We start from the raw sequence: 24237 nt of genomic DNA on the forward strand, positions 1-24237 counted from the left end.
CCCTTTCCACGGATGTGCCTTGGCCCCTGCCCAGGCAAAGAGGGGCAGATTTTCCGTCTTGTCCCAAGCCCCTGCATCTGCCACCTTGTTTACCTCCTGCCTATTTATAGTTGCAAATTCCAAGCCTGGCATGGGACTCTGCGATTTATATGACTATAAACCTTCAAAGGGCACTGAGGGCTGGCGGGGAATGGGTAAAGACAGGGGCAGGCCTCGCAAGGTCAAAATACTCAGTCTCCCACCCCCACTGTCCTGACATCCTACCTCCTCACAACAGGTTGAAAGGCCAGGCTCACGCAAATAAGAAAATGGGTAGGAAGCCACAGTCGCCGCTGACTCTTCCTACCCTAAGCTTGTCCAGTTTAGGATTTAGAGCAAGGCAGAGCATGTCCTGGGTCCTGGAACATGGTGGGGGAAAAGAAGAAAAACAATAGAGCAAAACAGAGAGAACCTGTTTTAGTCTCCCTGGCCCCTTTTGGGAGGGGGTAGGGAAGCTCAGTGTGGGAGAGTGGATCTCATCAAGGACAATTGAATTTGGAGAGAGTGGGTGAGTCCAGGCTTTCGAGGGAGAGGGGAAATTGGGATCAGCAGCCCAACTCCCACCTACCCCATCCACTTAACAGCAGAGGGGAAGAAGAATGAGACCTGGAGCACTCCTGGCCTCTGGCTTCCTTCTGGGGGTGCCTTTGGAGGCCTGAATGGCTCACCTCTTATTCAGAACAGGGTGCACTGGTTTACCCAATGCCTGGGTGCCCAGTCACCATGGAATTCTGCTAGCACTGCTCATAGGCCAGATCCTTCCCTTTAGAGGCACCCTCTCCTCAGCCTCTGGCTGACCCTCTGCTTCAATTCATCTCCCTTTCTATTTTCTCTGGACCTCCAGCCCGCCATGTGTACTCACGTTACCGCTCCCCACAAAGTGCCCCTTGCTTTGCACCTGTGCCCTCAGCTGACTATTACAGCCTCCTGCTCTGCTCTTCCCCTCAAGCCCACCACACTGGTCCCCACTCCACGATGTGTCATATGTAGCTCAGCTCTGTGTGTGCATGTGTGTGTGTGTCTGTGTGCACGTGCATGCATGTTTGTGGCTGCATGTGTAAGAATGTGCCAAACAGTTTTGAACATGAAGGAGGGGGGAACCCAGAATGGCTTTCTCCTTGACTTTTTTGTTGTTTTCCCATCAACCTCCAGTCTGCTGGACTAAGTCTAAGGACTTAGGGAGGGAAATGTCGCTCTTAGAGTCCATGTGACCCACTGGCCACTTCTGACCCTCTTTTACAGCCCCCCTCCCCGACCTCCACCATCTGGGGTCTCAAACCCCTCACCACTAGACTAAGCCTGGTGAGAGGCAGACAGAGCTGAGGGTCAGGGATTGCTCAGTTGGGATTGGTCCTCTGGCAGGGGAGGGCACTCAGTCAACAGAGACTCCCATCTGGCTTTGGGCTTGGTCTCGGCCTTGGGTAAAGTCATATAGGGAAAGGCGGAGGCCACAAGGAATGAACCAATTCTTGGTCTACTCCTCTCTCCTACCGTCCCAGCCCAGCCTATCCTTGGGGACAGGGATGCAAATGAGTAAGCCAAGTCAAAGTCCCTTCTCTAAGAAGAGAGACAGAGAATAGAGAAGATGTCACAGAGCCCCTTTTGCCACCTACTAGTCTTCTCTTTTTTTTTTTTTTTTTTTTTTGAGACAGGTTCTCACTCTGTCACCCAGGCTAGAGTCTACAGTGCAGCAGCATGATCATAGCTCACTGCAGCCTCTGCCTCCTGTGCTCAAGCAATCCTTCTGCCTGAGCCTTTTGACTAGCTAGAACTACAGGCATGCACCACCACATTTGGCTATTTTTTTCTTTTTTTTTGTAGAAACAGGATCTCACTATGTTGATCTGGCTGGTCTTGAACTCGTGGCCTCAAGCAATCTGCCCACCTCAGCCTCCCAAAGTACTCAGCTTACAGGCATAAGCCACTACACCGGTCTCATAGTGTATTTTTTATCTAGTGCTTTCTCTGTGGTGGGAGAGGGGGTATCAGGAGGCATTGTCAGATGTGAAGATGGTGTCTGGGATGCTTATTTTATTTATTATTATTTGTTTTGAGACAGTCTTGCTCTGTCGCCCAGGCTGGAGCGCAATGGCACTATCTCAGCTCACTGCAACCTCCGCCTCCTGGATTCAAGCGATTCTCCTGCCTCAGCCTCCTGAGTAGCTGGGATTACAGGCATGCACCACCACACTCAGCTAATTTCTGTATTTTTAGTAGAGATGGGGTTTCACCATGTTGGCCAGGCTGGTCTCAAACTCCTGACCTCAGGTGATCCACCTGCCTCGGCCTCCCAAAGTGCTGGGATTACAGGCGTGAGCCACCTCGCTTAGCCTGGAATACTTAACTTTATATGCCAACTTGACTGGGCTAAGGGATGCCCAGATAGCTGGGAAAACATTATTTCTGGGTGTGTCTGTGGAGGGAGTTTCTGGAATCAGTAGGCTGAGTGAGGAAGACTCACACTCATCACTGTGGGTGGGCATCATTCAATCTGTTGATGGCCTGAATAGAAGAAAAAGGCAGAGGGAGGGTGAATTTGCTTTCTGCTTGATCTAGGCCATCCATCTCCTCTTGTCTTATGATTTGACATTGCTGGTTTTGGGGACTTAAGACTTGGACCAGGACTTATACACCAGCCCCTCCCCGGCCCCCACAGTTATCAGGCCTTTGGGCTTGGACTGGAACTATACCACTCACTTTCCTGGGCCTCTAGCTTGCAGTCAGCACATCATGGGACTTTTTGGCCTCCATAATTGGGTGACTCAATCATTCATAATAAGTCCCTTTATCTACCTTCTTCCTTCCTACCTTCCTTCTTTCTTCTTTCCTTTCCTTTCTTTCTTTCTTTCTTTTTCCTTTCTTTCTCTATCTCTCTCTTTCTCTCTCTCTTTCTCTTCCTCTCTTTCTCACCTTCTCTCCTTGTCTGCTTCTTTCTCCCTTTCTTCTTTTCTTTCTTTCTTTTTTTCTTTCTCCTCTTTCTTTCACTCTTTCTTTCTATCTCTATCTCTCTCTTTCTCTCTCTCCTTCTTTCCTCCTCTTTCTTTCTTTCTTTCTTTCTCTCTTTCTCTCTTTCTTGGTCTGTTTCTCTGGAAAACCCTGACTAATACAGTGTATGAGGACCTGGGGAGAAATCGAGGACCTAGATGGAGGTGAGGTGCAGTGAAGAGAAGCCAGGAGGACCTGCAGAGGGGCTGGCAGCAGAGCAGAGCTCACCGTTATGCCCTCTCCAGAGGGAGGCAGCAGAGGACCATGGGAATTGCCCCATCCAGCATTAGCAGTTCAGTTCCCCTTGCTTCACTGTCTACCATGGAGCCCATATCTAGGGACTCACCTTGTTTGAATGTTTTTACACTTTTAGTCCCTGCCCCAAGGAGAGATGCCTTGGGAAAGTCAGCCCTGATTTAGTCCCTCCCAAGCTCCTCTCTTCATTCCTATGTAGAGGCTTCTCTCCTTTGTGTCTAGAACTTAGAGAACATACTTTTGTCCACTCCCCACCTCCTTACATTTCTCAACCTCCCCAGCTCCCTACCTCCTACACGCCCTTGGAGGCCATGATCCAGCCCAGATTCACTGCCCTGGAGAGGCCCGTATCTCTGCCCTGTGGCCATGCTGAGCCATGACTGTGACAACTAGACATTGTTAGCATCTGACCCCCATCATCCCTAGGGAGTTTCCAGTGAGGGCCCATACTCCTAATGTCTTCTTTTCCCTACCCCCATTTAGTCACTCACCAGGCCTACTTCCTGGATATGAGGACCAGGTCTGGCCCTGGAAGTGCACAGGGAGATGGTCCTGTGCTGGGGACCAGGCTAGCATAGGGGCAGCAGCTAGGTGGAGGAGTTCTGAGGTGTGGCCTTGAGTGCGATGAAAAACCAGTGCCTCATAGCCTAGTAACATTCCCCTCCCTGCCAACATGGCACCTCTGTGGTCCCTCAGCCTGGTTGGAAGTGGGGTGGTGAGGAGTTGGGGGGCACAGGTAGATGGAAGGTGGGGAATGGGGTGGGAGGGCACAGGTCAAGGGAACAAATATCTAATTTTTTCAAAGCTCAAAAACTGGAAGCAACCTAGAGGCTTCAAAGTTAAATCCTGGAGCAGAGAGAACATCTCCTGTGCATCGGGTAGAGGGAGCCAGGGACAGAATGGCCTTGGTTTGAGGATGATCTTATCAAAAAGGAAGCTAAGAGTGACCAGCTTTTTTGAGACCAAAGAGGGCCAATGGGTTCCTTCTGAACTCTTACTGGGATGGGAGTGGCTGAGAGAGCTGTAGACCTGAACCCTGGGGGGCACAGCTGAGATCCCAACAGAAAGGAGCCCATGTGTTAATAACCACTATAAGCCACGAGAAAGTCAGGGTCAGGGAGTGGTGGATTACTACTGGTCTCTCTTATCCAGTCTCCTGTCATTGACTCCAAGACATCTGGGTCTCAGAGAGTCCAAGATGCAAGGTAGGCAGCTACCTTACAGATCATCTGGCCTAGGACTCATTTTATAGATAGAGAAAAGAAGACTCAGAGGGGATAGGAAGGTGCCTGACTGTACCACCCACCATCTCAAGTCATCTATTAGCTTAGTTATAAGATCTCAGTTTGACCTCATCCTGTGGAACTCCAGGCTTACCTGCCTGCCCAATGGATTTGTCCCTAGATTAAGTTTCCCCTCCACCCACATTGTTGCTCTATGTTTGGACCCCTCCAGATAGGCCTGATGGAGGAGCCCTGATTGGAAAATTTCCCCTCCCCTTCCCTGTCTCAGAATATAGCTTCTTAGGGCGCTCCCTTTGCAACTTGAGATGTCACTGTCTTTCTATTAAAATGTCTTTTCCACTCTGCCTCTCCCTTTCTCTCGCTCTTCTCCAAACCCTACCCCCTCCACCCCCACCTGCCATCCCTTCTCTAGATAGAGCCCCAGAACTGCTGAGATGAATCTCTGCAGCTTTGTGGTTCTGGGCTGTGTTCCTGGTAATTGAGTTGTGCTCCCTAGTCATGATGGGGGAGGGTGGCAGTGGCTGCCGGTGGGTCCAGTCATCCTTCTGCTAGCTTAGCCCCTTCCACTGTGATCCAGCAGAGAGGGTGAGGAGGAGAGAGCTGGGGATGCTTCCTTTTCCCCAGCCCTCCTTCTCCAGCTCTCTGTCTCCCCCTCTCCCCCTCCCTGCTTCATCTCCAGCACAAATCACATGGTGACAGCCACATCCAACCTTTGGGGAAGGGTTTGTAAATGTGTCTTCCTTAGCTGTGATCTCCAAATTGTTCCTTTTATTGCATTTGTCACGGTGAAGATTAAAGTCCCTGGGTGGTCTGCACCACAAATCACAAAGTCTGCTCAGGGAGAGGCTGCAGGTTGGGAACTGATGGAGGGGTCTGGGCCCTGTTACAGGGTGTGCATGCATGTGTATACTCACAAACACCCGATCCCATGTGTGATGAGGATTTGTACTTAGGAATGGAAAGATGTGCTGCTGATATTGTCCTTCTGAGTTGTTAGCCCCCTTTATAAGCACAGTTTTTGACCTCTTCCTCCAGGCTGTCTTCCAGGATCTCCCTGCCCAATCTGTGGTTGGCATCATGGTCTACATTGCTCTTTCCCGTCTCTTCCATCAGTGGGGAGGGAAAGCTGTGGTCACATCAGAGATATTTCAGGATATCCCCCTGGATCTTTGGTCACATTGATCTCTAGATCTCATCCTGGCAGCCCTCTTTTTTTGAGACAGGGTCTCACTCTGTTGCCCAGGATGGGGTGCAGTGGCACGATCTTGGCTCACTGCGGCCTCAACCTCCTAGGCTTAAGCGATCCTCCTGCCTCAGCTCCCCCAAGTAGCTGGGACTAAAGGCGTGCACCACCATGCCCAGCTAAACATCCTGGCAGCACTCTGAATGGGTCAAGGGCAGTTTGGGCCCAGAGCTCCCAAGGGACTCACATCCAAGCCCCAGAAGAACAGCTGATCTTACCCTGTCCCAGCACCCCCATATCCTGACTTTCTTTCTCATCCTGAGACACAACTGGTTGCAGAGGGAGCACAGCTGACATGGAGGAAACACAGCTGAGGAACCAAGAGGACAAAAGCTCCCTTGTACATGTGCGCTGAAAACAGCCCCCTTATGAGGTGGGCTTCCTGCCTGTCCCTCATCCACATTCATAACATTCAAATTTATGCTGTAATCTCCACCGCTCCATATGTATGAGCCTTTGATGGGTGTTTGGGTTTATGGGATGCACCCGTCCCTCCATTCCCTCACCCGCCCACCGCCTCCAACCACTGCAAAGACGCTCGTACATAATTGACATCGGCAGATTCTTTCATTATACAAGATTTAGCATCTGCTCAGGGATCGCTCGCTCCTCACTCACCATAGATGACTTTTCCCCGCGTTTCCTATTATCAATTCAAATTAGCCCCATTTCCCCACCCGACCAGTGCAGCGTTTACACTTGACAGTGAGGAAACAGCAAGGCTATAATGGGCTCCTCAATTATTTAGGCCCAGGTAGGCCAGGACCCAGAAAGCCTTGACAAGGGGATATGCTGGGGTGGAGTCATTGTAGAGGGGAGGATAGGGCAGCAACTACCTGGTCCCTGTTTGGCCTTATAGCCCTCTACCCTCTCACTTTCCACCCTGGGACCCCCTTCCCCACCTCACACACATGTAGGTCTCTAAGGAGCAAGACAGTCCCTTCCTGCCCCCATCCTCAGCAGCAGCTCTCTCCCCTTCCATCCCATATTTGCTCCACATGAGTACCCAATGGGCCACTGGCATAAACCAAAGAAGAGGTCATTAGCACCTGCCGGGCTGCCCCTCCCCTGAAGACACCCCTGTCTGAAGGTTCATCTGTCTCCATGAAGGTGAGAGGTGGTGCCCCAGGATTTCAGAGATCAGTAGAAGAGTCAGAAATCCAGCTGCAGAGCCCTAGGAAGAGAGAGATAAAGCAGGCCCAGCTGACACATGAGACACACATCAGAGCCTGAGGGAGCCGAGAGTGTTGCCGCTGGGGCTTCGGGAGAAGTCACAGGCAAGAAGAACGGCTTGGGCAAGGCTCCCTCTCAGACCACACGGACTGTGCAGAGCTGTAATTAGGTCAGTTCTGCCCACCCACTGGTCTGCTATTCCAGGCCCAGCCTCCTGTAATAACTCTTGGGCCCAGCCAGTAGCTATTCAGGAATCAGGGGCTCTCCCGAGCTCACTAAATGGCCTAAGTACAGGGGCAGAAGCTCCTGGTCAGCACCGAAGCCCTAACCCCTCCTTCCCATCAACCCTCCTCTCATCTGAAGCAGGGCTCCAGGCAGTCAGCTCAGCTCAGCAAAACCCTGTGCCCACTTCTGCATCCCCCTCCCGTCCCCTTCCTCAGCTTGGATCAGTTTCCAAAGGCAGCAATGGGGAGGTGGCAGGCAGGGGTCGAAGAGGCTCTGGGATTAGCAGTGTCTTTCCCATGCTTGGCTTCTCCAAAATCAAAGAATTCCTCCGTCTGATTGGATTTACCCTAAGTCACAGGCGTGTGGGACCTTCTTTCCCTCAGCAACAGCTGGAAACAGCCCTAAATATGATTAATTAACGCTGTAAAAAGCCCTGGACACAATTAAGATTTATGTGTATGCGTGTGTGTGTAAGTGCACATACCTGTGCGTGTGTTGCAGGGGAGTGGGTTGTTGGGGGGACTCGAGTGGGGGGAGCACGGGTGGATTACCAACCACCTCCAGGGCCCTCTGGGGGAGTAGAATGACATTTCCTCAGAGACATTCCTTTGACATCCATCCCAGGCAGGGGTCATTTTATCCAGCCTCCAGCTTTTGAGTAGATTAGCCTTTCTCTGTCCCAGGGGCACGGGGCTATATTCTTTTCTCTCTTCTCTGGCCAATGAGGGGAGTTGGGGGTGGTTCTGGGGCAGGTGCCTCATCTTTCCTCTACCACAGCAGTATATTCTCCGTCAAACCTCAATTCCTCTTGCTGGGTCACTCTAGGCATCAGGGACACATACACAGTCCCCAAACATAGCTGCACTGACACAGCCCAAATGGGACATAAAATAGGAACCTCAGAGGAATCTGAATAAATGAGCTGCCGGACAAACCTCTTGCCCTTGGAGATAGTTCACTTTCATCCTCAAAGACTCACATCTCCAAGACAAGACAGAGGTCCTTGGACTTTCTCCTCACCTCTAAGATGACAAAACCTTATTTGTTGGGCCCTCTACTGCCTCCTGGCCCACCCCCATGTGATTGGGTACTCATTCTCTAACGTGGTGACATCCCAGCTTCAAAAAGATGCTGGTGATGATCGACATTATTTATAATCATGAAAAGGAAAGGGACAGGAGCACAGAAAACTCCAGTGAATCATTCGGAAATCAGTTATCAGGATCTTTGCAAGAGTCTTGGATTTCAATTTATTTTCTTTTATTTATTGCAACTGATTGATCTACTTCTGTTTTGCTGAAATGACTAAGCCTAGGAAGAGGTTGCTTAGGTTCTAGCACTGATGGCCAAAGAGGAAGTGTACCAGAAAGAGCATGGAAAAACCCCAGACTCTACATCCCCTCTTGGGATCCTTCTGGGGTCAATGGCCTGAGTACCTGGGGCTTCTGATTTATGGCATGGTCCCCCGGGGAGGAACCCAGGAGGTCTTGCGGATGCCTAGGTATTCCTTGGGAGAGGAGCTTCACATATCCTGGTGGAGTTATTAACAAACATGGATTAAATCACTGGGACTAGAGTTCAACTTCCTGATATCAAGGCTAAGTAGGGCCAAGGGAGTGTGTAGACTCTCCGTGCCACGTGTCTCCATGAAGAGGACCACCCTTGCCTGGAGGCAGGAGAATGGCAGAGATGAACTTTCAGTGACCATTTCTAGAACCCTGAGATTTTAGGAGCTTTTGTAGAATTTCTGAATTTGTAGCTGGTGACTGAGTAGAGGAGCTAAGTTCCACTCCAGAGCTCCAGAGTGAAAGGTGTGCCTTAAAGAGGGGAAAGGGGAATCAATTTTCCCCTGAAGCCCCAGTACAGGCTTGTTGTGAGGATCAAAAGAGCAGGAGGGTATGTCCTGAGGTCCCCAGATGCATGTGTGATGCTGCTACTACAGGGGTCAGCTGTGCAGAGCACCCCCACCCCCACCATTTCCATTCACACCCTTTGGGTTCTATAGAGTTCCACTCCTATCACCTCTCGGTCTTTTGGCTAAGATCAAATGTAGTATGTTTTTACCAGCTTAACATCTGATACATCCTCTATCTGAGGACAATATATTAAATGGGTTTTTTGAGCAGGGGGATGGAAAAGGAGCTTGCTTCATCCACTCCTATGCATCAACCTGGTATTGCAGGACCTCCAGGAATGGTGCATCACCAGGGTGCAAGAGAGAGTTCCACTCCCAGAGAGAGGGGTGAGGGGATGAGATGGTGTGAGTAGCAGACTTGGGTGCCAGTGAGCAAACAAGGAAGAGGAGGCAAGAGGTGGGAGGCTGGCAGGAGGTGGACAGGAAGGCAGGCTGCCTGGAGATGGGCCACTCCCTTGTGAGTGTCCTCGTGCTTTCCTTACAGATGCTCTACTCATTTGGAGTATGGTATTTGCTCTGCACATCCTCATAGGTCAGTGTATCTGCACATGTGGTATCTCTCTACTCTGTGATAATGCTTGGTGACCATGTGGCTGAGGATACCTGTGTGAAGAACAAGAAACTAGGGGTTGCCCATAGAGCACTTGGGTGTTTGGTTTGATGAGCACAGTGTTTAAAACAAACATGAAATTGAATACCTGTAGGAAAACATGTGCTTCTCAGGTGCAGCCATAGACCCTGCCACTCTACTGCATTTCACTACTTGCGTCACTTATATAATCTGCCTAGCACTAAAGCCTTGACTCTGTGATCTCTTGAAGAAAAGGAGATAGGCCCCTACTTGCCCATCAGTTGGCTTCTGAGTCATTAGCTTCCCTCAGAGATAATGGCTGGGGTCCAGCCACCAGCTTCTCTGGGACTAAAGGTACTGGAAGCCACTTTTTTTCTTGAGTCAAAGACATCTGTATAAGAGAAGCAAACAAGTCCCAACCTTCTACGAGAGAGGGGTCCAAGATCATACAGTGATACTAGACTCCAGGTTGCCTCTGTGGGACTCCAAAACCTCTATTTTGCACACTGCCTCTTGCCTTCGTCAAGTGGGTTTGAGCTGAGGCTGAGATATGAGAGCTAGAAGGAGAATAAGCCCAGAGACCCTGAGGGACACACTTGTTTCCAACTGGTGTGTCCTGGACATGGGCCTCTGCCAGAGGATGGAAAGGGATTTGGCCTGACATGCTGCTGGGATGGGCATTGGGTAGACTGCTTGCTCAGTCCATTGTGTAGCCTCTCAGGTAGGCAGAGCCCTCCTTCCTGCCCAGTGTCATATCACCAAACTGCCCCATCCCCCATCTCCCTGGGAGAAAAGGAAGTTTGGAGGCCCGAAGGAGGATCAATTCTATTTTGTTTTGGAAGCTTGGAAGAGTAGCTGGAAACATGTGGGGCTTGGTTTGAGGCTGGGGACAGGGCTGGCTCTTAGTATCTGCTTCATCCTTGCAATCAGCTTTCCAGAACTCTCAGTGGAGCTTATACGGTCAGGCTCTACCACAGGGGACCCATACTAAGACCATATCTATCCCTGGGATGCCCCCATGTAGGCAGCAGCTTCTAAGACAAGAATCTTGATATAAGCCTTTTATTTGGCTTCTAAGAAGCTTAGGATGGCAATGGGAATGTAAGAAAGGGTGAACTTTGTAAGGGAGCTGATCTTTTATAGCTGCTGTTTACTGAGTGTTAGATTTTGGTTTTTTTTTTTTTTTGAGTTTTTTTGGTCATTTATTTTGTGTCAGACAGTGAACTGAGCCTTTTACTTACTTTATTTCATTAAATGTTTATAACCATCCGGTGAGGTAAGTGATATTATCTCCTATTGCTCAGATAAGGAGATTGAGAATCTAAGAGGTTAAAAACCAGTCCAGAACAACACAGCTATTAACTGGGGAATCTGGCTGTTTCCACTCAAGGGCACTCCCTTCCTCAATCAATACAAAACCTGAGGTCAATGGGCAAGGTGGGGGGTAGGGTAGGGTTACCAGATTTAGCAAATAAAAATACAGGATGCCCAATTAAATTTGAATTTCAGACAAACAACAAATACTTAAGTATATCCCAAATAGTGCATGGGATATACTTATACTAAAAATTTATTGTCTGTCTGAAATTCAAATTTAATCAGGTGTCCTGTATTTTATCTGGCACTTCTTGGCGGGAAGTGGGGTGACAGCCTGGCCCAGCTCTGCCCCCGTTTCCTAAGAAAGTCCTGAGGGGTACAGGCCTCAAGTAAGGGATGGTCTGAGCTCAATTAGATTGTGCAGGCTGGGCTGACAGCCCTTTTCTCCCTTCTTGAGTGTGGCTAGGAAAAGGCAGGGCTTGGAGTCTAGGCTACCCTGTCCAGCCTCCCAGGCTCTGTGCTGAGGACGTCAGAGATCACACCCATTTACCAATCAATCAAAAGGGATTTTTCATCCCAGTACTAGGCTGCTCAACAGACCAAGCAAACCACAAGTGGTGCACCAGCACAGCAGGGATCTCCGAAAAAGAAATGAAAAATTAAAGAAAAAAATCAAGACATTTGGCTGGGCGCGGTGGCTCACGCCTGTAATCCCAACACTTTGGGAGGCTGAGGCAGGCGGATCACCTGAGGTCAGGAGATCTGTCTCTACTAAAAATACAAAATTAGCCGGGTGTGGTGGCGTGCGCCTTTAATCTCAGCTAATCAGGAGGCTGAGGCAGGAGAATCACTTGAACCCAGGAGGCGGAGGTTGCAGTGAGCTGAGATCTATTGCATTCCATCCTGGGCAAAAAGAGCGAAACTCCATCTCAATTAAAAAAAAAAAAAAAAAAAGGAAAAAAAAATTTCAAGCTGTCCGCATGGGAAAGGATGAAACCTTCCTGGCATTCACTGTACGATTTAGCACTGAATTAGACCGTGCGGGTGAGGTTGGAGTCAATCTGCTCAAGGTTTAGAAAGGTCTAGCCCAGCCCTGCATTTGGGGCACCAGCTTCTCTTCTTTTCCCTTCCGGGGAGTCTAACTCTGGGCGGGCCTGAGAGGGGGCAGATGGTGGGAGGGGCTCCTTCTGACCCCTAAGTCCCCAAGCTCTCCAGCCCCCCGCTGCCCGACCCGCGTCAGGCCTCGGGCTGGGCTCGGGCCCCAGGCGCTGCCCCGGCTCCCTCTCTGGTTCCTGGCCTCCGTCCTCCGCAGCTGAGCCCCGCTCGGCTCCACCCCAGGCTCTATCGCCTGCTCTGTCGCCTGCTCCATCGCTGGCTCCCGATCTGGCTCCCGTTCCCACTCCCCGCCCGGTGTGCTCAGCTTGCTCGGGGCGTCTCCCTACTGAAGAATTATGTTGCATAAAGCAGCCGCCACCATCTTGAACTGGCAGTGAACTTTGCTTTCTACATATAAATACAGATAGCAATCACACCCCAATCAGCGCAGAGGCTTCAGGGCATCATCTCAGCAACTCTAACTTTCCCATTACGATAATGTGATTTTCACTCAGTCTATAATATCACCAGCCATGAATAAAGCAACTGGCTCTTTCTCTCTCTCTCTTCCCTCCCCCCTTTCTCTGCCTCTCTCCCACCCACTTCAGTCTTTCTTTTCCTCCTTCACACCCTCCTCTTCTGTCTCTCTGCAACCCCTCCTGGTGATCTCTGAGTCTCTGAGCACCTCCGCCTTCCTCTCCCACTGCCTCTTTCTCCCCCTCATCCTCTGGGACTCACATTCCCTAAATACTAATGGCAGGGATTTGCTGTGCCCCATGGCTCAGTTAAGTTCTGCTCCCCAGCTCTGCCATCATCTGCCTTTGCCTGAAGGTGAGAAACTGCGGAGTGGGGGTGGGGTGGCCAGCTAGGCTTTCCGAGAGGGTGAGGAGCTTGGAGCGGACTCAGCTCCTTCGCTTTTCTCTCCCTCTTTCCTTAGGTACCAGGATGGCTCTCTGCAAGGATTCCCACCAGGAATGCCAAAGCCAGAGACTTAGGGACCAAAGGACCCAGAAGGGAGATCTGAAAAATTCCTGCTTAGGGGCGGGTCCTGGAGGCTCTGATTTTTCTGGGTATTGAGGGACCCAAACTCAACCAGATTCCAAATGCCAGACGATTGTGAGTAGATACAGCTGGTGAGAGGGTGCTCTGGAGACGCCTGCAGAAAAGAGAGGAAACTGGCCCAGCCTCCTAGAGACACTTCTGAGTACGGCTCGGTCCTGAGCCTGACGGCAGTCCAGGCTGTAGCTGCCTTTGCCAGGACATGTGATAAAGGCCCGCAGATCCTTGATCAAGGTGTCAGCCACTTTGTCGGAGCTCCTGGAAAGGGCTTCTCTTTCCTTCATGGACATTCTCCAGGTTGGTAGTGGTTCTGGCGGGGGAATTTTCTGTGCCTCTGGTCACTCATGTGTCTATCCCCCCTGAGTTTGTATGCCAGTTCTTTTAAACTAGCGTTGGGATCATGGACAGTGCTCTTATCTTCCCTAAGCCTCAGTGTCCTCATCTATAAAACGGGCATAATAATATACCTACTGAATAAAATAATGTATGTGAAGTGCTTCACACTGTGCTCAGCACATTGTTAAATGTTCAATAAATGCTAGCAATTATTACTATCAGCAATTATTGAATAATCATCTGCTATGTCTTTGACACAGGGCACCATGGAGGTTAGGAGCCTGGGGTTTGGAGACAGATGATCTGAGTTTGAATCCTGGCTTAACGCTTATTAACTTTGTGGTCTTGGAAAAGTCACAGCTTCTCTGAGACTCAGTTTCCCCATCTGTAACAGGAATAATAATAGTCCCTACTTCATAGGGTTGTCGTGAGGGTTACTCAAGCTCATCTAGTGCTTGGCACAGTGTTGATATGTGACAAGAGCTCTTGAATATTCTCAAGGGTCACTGTGTATCCAGCCATGAGTAAGGCCAACACTGTCCTGGCTGTCCTGTAGACCACACCCTCTCTGTGGGTTATTGTCTGGGCCCTTGACTTTTTCTAGGCAAGTGTCCATTAATGGCCTTGTCTTTTCACTCCTGTGGAGGATGAGGACTTGCTTCAATTTCCCTAGCTATAAGAACTGCACCTTTTCAGTTGCCCTCCTTTCTGCGGTTGGAGCTAGGACTCCTGCCCAGCCCCTTTCCTGGTTGAGGAGAGAAGGTGACCCTTGAATCTGCTCTCTTAGGCAGGGGAGACAAATTAGAATCAGACATCCTCATTCTGTCCATTTCTGTAGCTCTAAGTGTTTGGGGGTCAGTTTGCTTGCTTGCTTTTAGTTTCTCTTGGTTTCTCTCTGAAGGCTCCTTTGGAGCCATTCCAAGCTGATTTCATGTGAAAGAGGGGAAAGAAGATTCTACTCACCTCAGCTGAGCCAGGAGGGGCCTCGGGAGTATGGCAGTGAGAGCTCCCAGCTCTGGGACCTAGAGAGCCAGTATCACTGAGGCAGACTCAGGGAGGAAGCTAGGGGTAGAGTGCCTGGCTAGTGGCAGGTTTGGGTCTCTTCCTTAATACTTAGCCTCTCTCCCCTGGCTCCAAGAGGAAAGAAGCTACCCTTCAAAATCCAGAGCCATAAGCCAACACTTTTTTTTTTTTTTTTCAGATGGATTCTCGCTTTGCCACCCAGCCTGGAGTACAGTGGTACAATCTCGGCTCACTGCAATCTCCGCCTCCCAGGTTCAAGTGATTCTCCTGCCTCAGCTTCCCGAGTAGCTGGGACTACAGGTTTGTGCCACCGTGCCCAGATAATTTTTGTATTTTTGGTAGAGACCATGTTTCACCATGTTGGCCAGGCTGGTCTCGAACTCCTGACCTCAGGTGATCCACCCACCTGGGCCCCCAAAACTGCTGGGATTACAGGCGTGAGCCACCGTGCCCAGCCAAGCAACACATTATTAACCAAGTGCTGTAGCTAAGGGAACTGAATCACCTGTAAACTCATGACAGAATGCGGAGTCTGGTCTCCTCCCTATGCCTAACTCCACTGCTCACAGACAGGGTCCATGGCTTCCAGGTGATATTGCCCAGTATTGGGGGACAGGCATGAGAACATGGAAGGGAAGCACAGAGTGAGAGACACATATAGAGATAACTGCAGGGTGCAGCAGGGCAGAAAAAGAGTGGTAAGTTCAGTCTGAAGAGCCAGGTGACACTTCATAGAGGAGATGGTGCTCCAGCTAACGTAAATATAGGCAAAATGGGAGGGCAAAGAGAAGGAAAGGCATTCAAGCAGGGGGAATGGCACATCCAAAAGCCTTAAGGTGTGGAACAGCCTGGCACATCTGGAGAACTCCACTGAAGTACAGGGGAGGGCATAGGGAGGGCACTTTGGGAGAGAGGCCAGCAGAAGGAGAAAGAGAGTAAAGGGCTGTGCCAAGGAGTTAGGCTCTCACCCTGTGAGCAGGGGCCCACTGACGGGCTTTCACATGGAGTGATTTGCATTTCAGAAAAATAACTCTGAGGATGATACAGAGAATGGGGGGAGGGTGCAACCGGAAACATTGGAGACCAGGAGACCAGGGAGGAGGCTCCCCCCAACCCCCAGGCTGGAGTGCAATGGTACAATCTCAGCTCACTGCAACCTCCACCTCCTGGGTTTAAGATATTCTCCTCCCTCAGCCTCCCGAGTAGCTGGAATTACAGGCGTCCACCACCACACCTGGCTAATTTTTTGTATTTTTAGTAGAAACAGGGTTTCACCATGTTGGCCAGGCTGCTCTCGAACTCCTGACCTCAGGTGGTCTACCTGCCTCAGCCTCCCAGAGTGCTGGGATTACAGGCATAAGCCACCATGCCTGGCCTTTTTTTTTTTTTGAGACAGAGTCTCGCTCTTTGGCCCAGGCTGGAGTGCAGTGGCACGATCTTGGCTCACTGCAACCTCTGCCTCCTAAGTTCAAGCGATTCTCCTGCCTCAGCCTCCTGAGTAGCTGGGATGACAGGCATGCGCCACTACACCCGGCTAATTTTTGTATTTTTAGTAGAGACGGGATTTCACCATGTTGGCCAGGCTGGTCTCAAACTCCTGACCTCAGGTGATCCACCCCCCTCAGCCTCCCAAAGTGTTGGGATTACAGGCATGAGCCACCATGCCCTGCCGAGGGAGGAGGTTCTTACAACTGTGCGGGCAAGAGACATGGAGGACCCGAGTTATGGCAGTGGTGGTGGGGACACTGAGGAGTGACAGACTAGAGAGGGCCTCTGAAAGAATGGACGGGATTTTTTTTTTTTTTTTTTTTTTGAGATGGAGTCTTGCTGTATCATCCAGGCTGGAGTGCAGTGGCGCGATCTCTGCTCACTGCAAGCTCTGCCTCCCAGGCTCATGCCATTCTCCTGCCTCAGCCTCCCGAGTAGCTGGGACTACAGGTGCCCACCACCACACCCGGCTAATTTTTTGTATTTTTAGTAGACACAGGGTTTCACTGTGTTAGCCAGGATGGTCTCGATCTCCTGACCTCCTGATCCACCCACTTCAGCCTCCCAAAGTGCTGGGATTACAGGCGTGAGCCACCAGTCATGGCAAAGAATGGACAGGATTTTGTGCTTGATTGGATGTGGGAGGTGACTGAGAGGAAGATTCCTAGATGGCAACCAGGTTCTTGCCTTGGGTGAATGGTGAGATGATGACAGAGATGGAGAATAGAAGTGATGGAATAGCTTTGAGGAGAGTTCAAAAATACTAAGATCTGATTGAGACACATACTTTGAGAGTCTGGGGTATGTCTCAATAAAGATATCCAGGAGATTAAGAGAATTGAAGAACTTTATCTCCATATATCTGGAGTCTGGTAGGGAGTTGGAAATACATGTGTGGCATTCAAAAGAGTTTTGGGCTGGGTGCAGTGGCTCATGCCTGTAATCCCAGCACTGTGGGAGGCCAAGGCGAGTGGATCACTTGAAGTCAGGAGTTCAAGACTAGCCTGGCCAACATAGTGAAACTCTGTCTCTACTAAAAATACAAAAAAAAATTAGCCGAGTGTGGTGGTGCATGCCTGTAGTTCCAGCTACTGGGGAGGCTGAGGCAGGAGAATCGCTTGAACCAGGGAGGCAGAGGTTGCAGTGAGCCGAGATCGCGCCACTGCACTCCAGCCTGGGTGACAGAGTGAGACTCTGTCTCAAAAAAAAAAAAAAAAAAAAAAAAAAAAAAAAAAAGAGTTTAGTCAGAGTATGTGGATTTGAGGGTTACTAGCATATAGATGGTAATTAAAGCCGTGGGAAGGAGGTTATTTACTTGGGAAAGACAAGTTTGAAGAGGCCCAAGAGTGGAGTGTTAGGAAATGTGTACATTTAAAAGAGTGATTTTCAACCTTGGTAGCACATTTGGATGAAATGGGGAGCTTGAAAAACACCAGTGTCGGCTGGGCACGGTTGGCTCACGCCTGTAATCTCAGCACTTTGGGAGGCTGAGGCAGGTGGATCACGAGGTCAGGAGATCGAGACCATCCTGGCTAACACGGTGAAACCCCATCTCTACTAAAAATAACAAACAATTAGCTGGTTGTGGTGGCGGGCGCCTATAGTCCCAGCTACTTGGGAGGCTGAGGCAGGAGAATGGCGTGAACCTGGGAGGCAGAGCTTGCAGTGAGCCGAGATGGCACCACTGCACTCCAGCCTGGGCGACAGAGCGAGACTCCATCTCAGAAAAAACAAAAAAGAAAAACACCAGTGTCTGGGCCCCTCCCCAGGCCAACTAAATCTGAATCTCTGGGAGTGAGCTGTAAAAGTCCTTCAGGTGATTCTAACATGGCATTGGGGTTGAGAATCAAAGACTTGGAGGGAGGCAGGAGGCGGTGGCTCACGCCTGTAATCCCAACACTTTGGGAAGCCAAGGCGGGCAGATCACTTGGGCCCAGGAGTTCGAGACCAGCCTGGGCAACATGGTGAAACCCCCGTCTACCAAAAATAAAAAATAAAAATAAAAATAAAAAAATTAGTCAGGCACAGTGCTGCATGCCTGTAGTTCCAGCTACTGAGGAGGCTGAGGTGTGAGAATCGCTTGAACCTGGGAGGCAGAAGTTGCAGTGAGCGAAGATCTCACCACTGCATTCCAGCCTGGACAACAGAGCAAGACCCTCCCTCAAAAAAAAAAAAAAAGAAAAGAAAAGAAAAGAAAAAGGCTTGGAGGGAGGGCAGAGGACCCAGGCTAGCAAAGAAAACTGAGAAGGAATGTTCAGGATGATAGGAAGAGAAACAGGAAAGAGGGGTGTTGTGGAGTAAAGAGAGGACAAAGTTTCAAGAAGGGAGAGTTCAAAAGCATCAAATGATGGAGAATAATAGTAGTTAACACCTACCCAGTACTTATCCTGGCTTTACGTGAATTCACTGAGTCTTCCTGAGACCCTATGAGGCAAGTATTATTATCATTGCCATTTTGAACATAATAAAACTGAGGCATAGGTACTTGCCCTAGCTCATACAACTAGTAAGCAGAAACCAGGCTTCAAGCCCAGGCAGGCCACTACCAAATGTGTGCTACACCACCTCTCTTGCAGAGGGCCAAGTGACATGCACACCGTTCGTGCTTTTTAGCAGTGTAGCCTTCCAACGGCCCAGCTCTCTTCTCCTTTTCTCTTCTCTTCTCCTTTTCTCTTCTCTTCTCTTCTCTCCTTCCTTCCTTCCTTTCTTCCCTCCCTCCCTTCTTTCCTTCCCTCCCTCCCTCCCTCCCTTCCTTCCTTCCTTCCTTCCTTCCTTGCTTCCTTCCTTCCTTCCTTCCTTCCTCTCAGTCTAGGTCCCTAAGGCAGCTTTTTTCACCTCCCTGGCCTTCTCCTGGTGACTGGGCTAAGTGGAGCTGGTTCTCCTCCCTTACTCTTGGAGGGACAACAAAGTCCACCCTTAGGTGATGGCCACAGTGAGCCTGCATTCATCAGCCTGAGCGAGCAAGCACCCTTTGAAGTCTCCAGAGTCTAGGAGGGTGGGGGGTTGGGAGAGGGGTGCAGAGGGAAAAGGATCTGATCCTCCTGGGAAGTTAAGTCTCCTGAGAAGTGATGCAGGAAGATTTTGAGGAGGAAAGAGACTGGAATCTACATTCACAGTAGAGGTGATGTAAGTGCGGCCTCCAGGCCCCAGAGCAGTGGTTCTCAACCAGCCTGACTGTTAGAATTAAGGAGAGGGGAGTGTTAAAAATATACCAAAAGTGCCACCTCCAGAATAATTGGATCAGAATCTCTGGGAATGGAGCTCAGGCACTGATGGTTTTTAAAAGTTCCCCAGCTGATTCTAATGTGTAGCCAGCGCTGAGAACAGCAGCCTGGAGAAAAGAGCTCTGAATAAATACAAAAAGACCACGGTTCTACACTCCAACTTTATCACTTCCTAGCTGGGTGGTCTTGGGCAACCCATTAGACGTCTTTGAGCCTCTCTTACTCATTTCTGTAAAATGGGCATAGTAATGTCCACCATGCCTACCTTAAACAGATTGTTATGATGCTGAGGTAGACTTGGATGTGATATACTTTGTTAATTATGTAGGGTACTGTGTGAAAGTAGGTGGAATTAACTCAGACAGACAAAAGGACAAATAAGCACTTGTGTTCATTTTGCACAGGTAGAGGCACTTGAGTGAGTACACACACACACACACCTCACAGAGAGTTGCTGGTTGGATTTTGAAAGCAGAACTGTGGTTTTCTAGTCATGGTCTTTTATGTTTTTAGCCTTCAGAATATGCCATTAAAATATGGAAAGATGATCTGGTGTGTGTGTTTGTGTGTGTGTGTGTGTGTGTGTGTGTGTGTTTAAATGATTGTTAAAGTGTAGCATCATTTGAGTCCGCCTGTCAGCCTATCAGAAACGTCATCTATAACCTTCACTGTTTGCAGTTTAATCTCCCCTGCCTCCCCGCGGGCCCTGTTCTGACATTTTAAACCCCATAAATGACAGTAGTGCTCTAAGCCATTTTGAAAAAAGCCAAGCATTTGGAAAAAACACACATAGAGACATCCCCCTAAATTCCCCTTCCTGTGAACACATGCTCATTCATGCTCATAAGTCGAATCACACACACGTTCACACCCCTGCACTGGCCAATTTGAGAGAAGTCACAGATACTGGTACTAGCCAACAAAATACACATGTGATGGCAGGACACAGGTGTGTCGAAGCATGGCTGTGTGTCTGGCCCGTGCATGAACTCCAGTGGACACACAGCAGGGACACCTTTCTTTTCTCATTCTCAAGTTCCAACCATTCTTCTGCTCCTTGGCTTTGAAAGGGAACGAAAGGATCCAGCATCCTTGGAAGGCTGGCACTGGGAGCTGTTTCCTGTAATTTGGAGTTAGAAACCAATAGGGGCTGGGTGCAGTGGCTCATGCCTGTAATCCCAGCACTTTGGCAGGCCGAGGTGGGTGGATCATTTGAGGTCAGGAGTTTGAGACCAGCCTGGCCAAGATGGTGAAACCCCATCTCTACTAAAAATACAAAAATTAGCCGGGAGGTGGTGGTGCGCACCTGTAATCCCAGCTACTCGGGAGGCTGAGGCAGGAGAATCGCTTGAGCCTAGGAGGTGCAGGTTGCGGTGAGCCGAGATTGTGCCACTGCACTCCAGTTTGGGCAGCAGAGTGAGAAGACCCTGTCTCAAAAAAAAAAAAAAAAAAAAGGAAAAGAAAGAAAAAAGAAAAAAAGAAACCAATGGGGTGACAAGGGAGCTTGAAGAGCCCCAAATCTTGGGGTTTAGTGCCAAGCAAGGATGTGCATTAACAGGATCAAGGTTCTGAACTCTTGGAAAGCCCATGAGTAGAAGGGATAACATGTAAGTTGCACCCCACCTACCAAACCAGTGAGCTCTCAAGGTTTGGAGAACCAGAATGCAAGAAGAAAATTCAGAGATACTTAGTCACGGGATGAACATGTGAGTGTACAAGAAGGTGGTATAAGATGTTAATTGTGAACTCTGTAAGAACAGGGCCCTGCCAACTCCTGGATATATCCCTAGAGTCTGGCACAGGGTCTACAACATAGCAGAGGCTTGCAAGTACTTGCTGAATGAATGACAAAGAATCTGAAGCTCTTGATGGCAGGCCTGGCTCCTGTGGCTCTCCCTCCCACCAGCTCAAGTCATCATGTACTTTAAGGAACTTGTTTCCAAGGCAACCAATTAGAGTCAGAAAGTGAGGGCTGTGACGTCAGGCAAGGATAGGGGGTGGGTGGAGAAACTGCCATCCCCCATATCCCTAGCTCCCAGCTCAGTCTCTGCAGCCTTGAAGGGAACACTTCTGAAAAGAGGAAAAGACAGAGGGCATTGCCCTCCTGAGAGTACACTTCTGGGTCAGGGCTCAGGAATAGGGACTATGTTGGAGATCTGATTCATCTGGCAGTGTCCCTACCTGCTACCGCATTCCAAAATGCTGATAAGCCTGTGGGTCCAGCAGTGAGACAGTGTAGGCATACTAGAAGGGTAACAGTAGTTGGGGACCACTGCCCATGCTCCTCCCTGTCGCCTAGGAGGGAGAGATCTTAGGCTTTCTTTCTTTGGGGGACCTGTAAACAAGGCCCAGAAGGAAGGAAGTCTTGGCTCAAAGGGGAGGAGATGCTGCTCTCAGGCCTCACTTGAGACCTTTCTGTCTGCCCCCTGGAAAGGATGTATGTTTTGGTTTATGAGAGGAAAGTATACACTTTAAATAAGAGTAGGAAGCCAACAAGGAATGCATTTGGAGAGTGTAGCGGAGACAATCCAATGAGCGGTAGCTCACAGATTCTTTCTTGGAGCAGAGAATGAGATGTGAGTAACAAAACTGCAGCAATTTGAACCCCTAGATCCTTGAGATCATGTTAGGCTTCCCAAGGGACAAGTCTGGCCAATTTGGGAAGGTCATTCTAATCAGAAGATAAAAGGCAGAATGCAAAGGACCTTGTCCTTAGGGTACAATGAGAATACTGGGCATTCACTTGTTGAACTTCCTGGCCAAACTATGATAAGCCTCCACACCAGCTGGGTAGGCCCTGCTGTGAAGACGATGAAAATGATGATGCTGACAATGATAAATAGCAGCTATATTTTTCATGGCACTGTACTTTACCAAATACCTTTATTGTCGTGGTAGCTCTTTTGATAAGTAGGGCCGGAATTGTCCCCAGGTGTGGTTCTGGAAGCAGACTTGGAGATGGCAAGTACTGTGCAGGAGCTTCACTGGAGAGTGCTCTGGGAAGGTGCTAGAAGTGCAGGACTGGGCAATGGAGAAGTGGGGTTGTGCTGCAGTCTCAAAAAAGGCCTTGACTGACTGCAGGGGGCTCTGAAGTTGGACGGCCCTTCAGAACCATCCTGAGTAGGAGAGAGGCAGCTGGGCCTTCACACACCCCTGGTGACCAGTCACTGGATGCAGGCTGCCCCAGAAAAGGGGCATGACCTTAGGCAGGGCAGCACTCTTCAGCAGAGGCAAATCCAAGGAAGGCTGACAGGCAAGGGTGGCAGCTTAGGGGACCGTCCTTCAGTATGGAAGGGGAATGCGGCCTGACACCATGGCACCTACTATAGCAATTACCACTCTCATATTGGAGGTGAGGAAACTGAAGTTCAGAGAGATGTAATGACCTACCATATTATGCAGCTATCATACTGGCAAGGTTGGAGTGTGGCTGTAGCATCAAGAAGGGCTTTCAGTGTAAAATTCCTCCAGTATAACCACAGGAGTCAACTGCTGAGGAAACGCCCTCTCCCTGAGCTCCATGCAGGACAGGCAGTTGGAGCTGAGGGTGCCCTGACTGAGGGGCTGGGAGAAGGAACTCAGTGTGCTTTCCCCCAGGCCGAAGAGTCAGGGTGCAGAGACCCTGTGCCAGGCCTTCAGAGGGCCTGCTGAGCTCTGCTGAGGTCCAGGGAGCCTCCTCCCCCACTGGAAAGTAGAGACTGTGATCTTAATCCTTCCCATCACAGAGGCACAGTGCTGGCTGCTCCAGGCCACAGGAGAAGCTTTCCTGACAGATGTGTCGGATTGACCAAAAGACCAAAAGGGGCTTTGCGGAGATTATGCTGTCTGCTCGATACTTGGCCCCTAAGCCTCAAGAAATGGAAGCTCAGAGGGCATCCTTGGTGGCTTCTAGAAAGGGTCAGAGCTTTAAGCAGGGGCCCAGCAATGGTCAGCTTCCCTGGCCAGCCCCAGGCTGCCTCCAAAAGGCCTGGCGGAAGGCATTTGCCAAGGTGTCAGCAGAGGTGAGGGAGGGAGAGGACAAGGTGACAGAAGGCGAGAGTCAGTGAGGCAGAGGCCAAGGAACAGGAGGGGCCTGACCCCCTCAGGACCAGCCACCCCCACAGAAACTGACCCAGGGGAGAGAGACCCTTGTCTGGGCTTGTTTTCGGGCTGCTGGGGCCAGGCATCGGGGTCTATTAAGGATTTGGAAGGTCACTGAAGAGCGGGGTGTGTGTGTGTGTGTGTGTGTGTGTGTGTGTGTGTGTGTGTGATGGGGCTGGGGTGGAGGCAGTGCCACCATCAGATGTGTGTGGGGAATGGAGTGAAGGGAGTCTGCCTGAGTCCACCGCTTTCACACTGGAACCACTGGGTCCACAGCACAGGCTAGGAGGGACTGCTATTCCTGCTTTTTTTTTTTTTTTTTTTTTTTTTTTTTTGAGGAGTTTCATTGTTGTCGCCCAGGCTGGAGTGCAATGGCACGATCTCGGCTCACCGCTACCTCTACCTCCCGGCTTCAAGTGATTCTCCTGCCTCAGCCTCCTGAGTAGCTGGGATTACAGGCATGTGCCACCACGCGAGGCTAATTTTGTATTTTTAGTAGAGACGGGGTTTCTCCACGTTGGTCAGGCTGGTCTTGAGCCCCCGACCCCAGGTGATCTGCCCACCTTAGCCTCCCAAAGTGCTGGGATTACAGGCATGAGCCACCGTGCCCGGCCTCCTGATCTTTTTATTCTCAACTCTCGCTGACTAGGAGATGAGAAAGGAAGCCTGAGCTGTCACAAGGAGAGGACCCAGACATGCAAGAGGCAAAGGAACAGGAACATGACAGCTCTGGAGTCTCTACAGGGAGACTCACAGGAATAGACCATCCCCTGATCACAGGAACACAGGGTCCTTCTTGCCCTTTTCTGGGGCAAAAGAGTGAGTGGCCACAGCCTCTGTCTTGGAGACCCCTATCAGAAAGGGATTGCTTTAGGTGGTGTTTTTTCACTCTGCTACCTTCCTCCCCACCCCACCCCATTTCCCTTCATGACCTTGTGACTCCATTAGGTCTCCTTTCTTCTTGA

The 24237-nt window shown here is 50.0% G+C and overlaps 1 pseudogene, besides 3 other annotated features; it reads left to right on the plus strand.

Moving 5' to 3' along the window:
• On the plus strand, positions 9182-9371 carry RNU2-43P (RNA, U2 small nuclear 43, pseudogene; annotated as a pseudogene).
• Positions 11771-12300: an enhancer, noted in NCBI's record as "H3K4me1 hESC enhancer chr10:103069875-103070404 (GRCh37/hg19 assembly coordinates)". NCBI's record gives its function as "activates a minimal SCP1, AML or CMV promoter by ChIP-STARR-seq in naive H9 embryonic stem cells {active_cell/tissue: H9 hESC(naive)}" and the evidence as "EXISTENCE:reporter gene assay evidence [ECO:0000049][PMID:30033119]".
• Positions 12301-12829: an enhancer, noted in NCBI's record as "H3K4me1 hESC enhancer chr10:103070405-103070933 (GRCh37/hg19 assembly coordinates)". NCBI's record gives its function as "activates a minimal SCP1, AML or CMV promoter by ChIP-STARR-seq in naive H9 embryonic stem cells {active_cell/tissue: H9 hESC(naive)}" and the evidence as "EXISTENCE:reporter gene assay evidence [ECO:0000049][PMID:30033119]".
• Positions 22762-23262: an enhancer, noted in NCBI's record as "H3K4me1 hESC enhancer chr10:103080866-103081366 (GRCh37/hg19 assembly coordinates)". NCBI's record gives its function as "activates a minimal SCP1, AML or CMV promoter by ChIP-STARR-seq in primed H9 embryonic stem cells {active_cell/tissue: H9 hESC(primed)}" and the evidence as "EXISTENCE:reporter gene assay evidence [ECO:0000049][PMID:30033119]".

This window comes from Homo sapiens, chromosome 10, assembly GCF_000001405.40.
Source record: "Homo sapiens chromosome 10, GRCh38.p14 Primary Assembly".
In the NCBI taxonomy this organism is placed as follows: domain Eukaryota; kingdom Metazoa; phylum Chordata; class Mammalia; order Primates; family Hominidae; genus Homo; species Homo sapiens.